Genomic DNA, 2426 nt, shown 5'->3' with positions numbered 1-2426 from the left:
TGTAAGAACAAAAGAAAATTATTAACTACTTTCCTGAATGCATTTTCCTACCAGCCCAGATAATTTAAATTTTAAGTATGTAATGTGGAGTTGACCCTTGAACAACATGGGTTTTAACTGCGTGGGTGCACTTACACATGGATTTTCTTCCAACTCTGCCACGTCGAAGACAGCAAAATCAACCATTCCTCTTTTTCCTCAGCCTACTCAACATGAAGACTATGAGGATGAAGACCTTTATGATGATCAACTTCCACTTAATGAATAGTAAATATATTTTTCCTTCCTAATGATTTAACAATTTCTCTAGCTTACTTTGTTGAAGAATACAGTATATAATACATATACAAAATATGTGTTAATTAACTTTATGTTATCAGTAAGGCTTTTGGTCAGCAGTAGGCTATTAGTAGTTACGTTTGCGGGGAGTCAAAAGTTGTATGCGAGTTTTTGACTGCTTGAGGGTTGGTGTGTCTAACCGCCACATTGTTTAAGGGTCAACTGAATTAGGCTTTGTGCTTAGCCAGTGCAGATATTCCTGTCTTTATGGAATAGTCTAATTCTGGAGCATATGAAATGCCATAAGACTAAATACTTCAATGGAAAAAATCAAGTAGCTACCTGGAAGGCTTCGGTGCTCTGGGACATGTTTCACATTCTTAGTCTCCCCTGTTGCTGGGAGTTATGGACTGTAATAGCTATTTCACTGTTGTAATACAGTAAGTATTTTGTTGACTTTGGTTTTATTTACATCAGTATTATTTAATTCAGTGAACACTTATTGAGTATTATTTAATTCAGTGAACACTTACTGAGTATGTATGAATATACATACTCAATAAGATGTGGAATGGCCATCTTAGAGACTGTAAATAATTACAGTGCCATAACTACAATAATAAAAACATGTATGAGATGCAGACAAGAGAGAGTGCTTGCCACCCATTTGTTTCTAGAAAATTCACCTAGGCTAAAGCATCTACTGCAAGTCCACATTGAAAATGTTAGGGCCTCATCTTGATGTTTGAAGCTGATAATTTTGGGTGTCACCAGTAGTTTTAGCCCAACTCCACTTTTATTTACTCCAGCTTGAATTTTTGAAAGTTTAAGACTTTAAGCCATGTAAAGTGAGACAATTTATCATTTTCCTGCACTAATTTTTAAAAAATCATACAACAGCTGAATGAGGTCTGCTATGTCCTTTTTGTAGATGAAGAAGCGTATTACATCACTCTGTCCAAAAGAAATTTTATTCAGATTTATTTCAGAAAGAGCTTTACTTCACCTGAGAAATTGCCTTTTCCTTATGGACAAAGCAGATTATTAATTGGTTGCCCGATATTTTTGCTGTAGTTGTGAGAAATCTCCTATTAAAATTGGGTTCAGGCTGGGTGCGGTGGCTCACACCTGTAATCCCAGCACTTTGGGAGGCCGAGGTGGGCAGATCACCTGAGGTCGGGCGTTCGAGACCAGCCTGGCCAATACGGTGAAACCCCGTCTCTACTAAAAATACAAAAAATTAGCTGGTCATAGTGGCAGGCACCTGTAATCCCAGCTACTTGGGAGACTGAGGCAGGAGAATTGCTTGAAACCAGGAGATGGAGGTGGCAGTGAGCAGAGATCCCACCCCTGCACTCCAGCCTGGGTGACAGAGCGAGACTCCATCTCAAAAAAAAAAAAAAAAAAAAATTGAGTTCAGTTTTAATAATTATGTAGCCTTGGTTGTCTGCTTATCTGCATTCTAACTTTTTAGTCTTTTTTTTAATCAGAGGAAAAGATTTAATATAAAGATTCAAGCTTCACATCATGACAAATAATAAATTGTGAAATATAATTTTTTCTTCTTCTTTTCGTATTTTTTATAAATATTGGGTTTCACAACATTGCCCAGGCTGGTCTTGAACTCCTGGGCTCAAGCCATCCTCTCGAGTTGGCCTCCTAAAGTATTGGGATTATAGGTGTGAGCCATGGAGGCTGGTGGTGGCTCTTTTTCTATTTTAATCTAATTTCTTATTCTTGATCTTTTTTGTATTTTTCCAGAGTTTGATTTTTATCTACTTGTTTTTCTTTTGTTTTTATAAATGGCCACAAATATCTAGTGTAAATCAGGCCAAATAGTATTTAAAAAAAAAATCTTCCTTATTTCAAGTTGTAAGAATAAACTCCTAGGGGAACTATTTGGGGCAAGGATCCAGTGAGATACATACCTCCCCATCTGGAATTCCTGAGGAGTGGAAATAATACATACAGTTTTAGTAGGTCTTTAGATTACATCTAGATTTAAATCGGCTGACCTACCTGGAAGAAGGGAGTTTGGATGAAAGCTACCACCTCATCATCATTTTTCTAATAAATCTTTTAGCAAGAAAATTCAGAAACTAAATGGATATTATTTTCATTATCCTCTTTTAATTCATAATCCAACA

This window comes from Homo sapiens, chromosome 12 (genome assembly GCF_000001405.40).
Source record: "Homo sapiens chromosome 12, GRCh38.p14 Primary Assembly".
In the NCBI taxonomy this organism is placed as follows: domain Eukaryota; kingdom Metazoa; phylum Chordata; class Mammalia; order Primates; family Hominidae; genus Homo; species Homo sapiens.
This window is presented reverse-complemented; position numbering follows the sequence as displayed.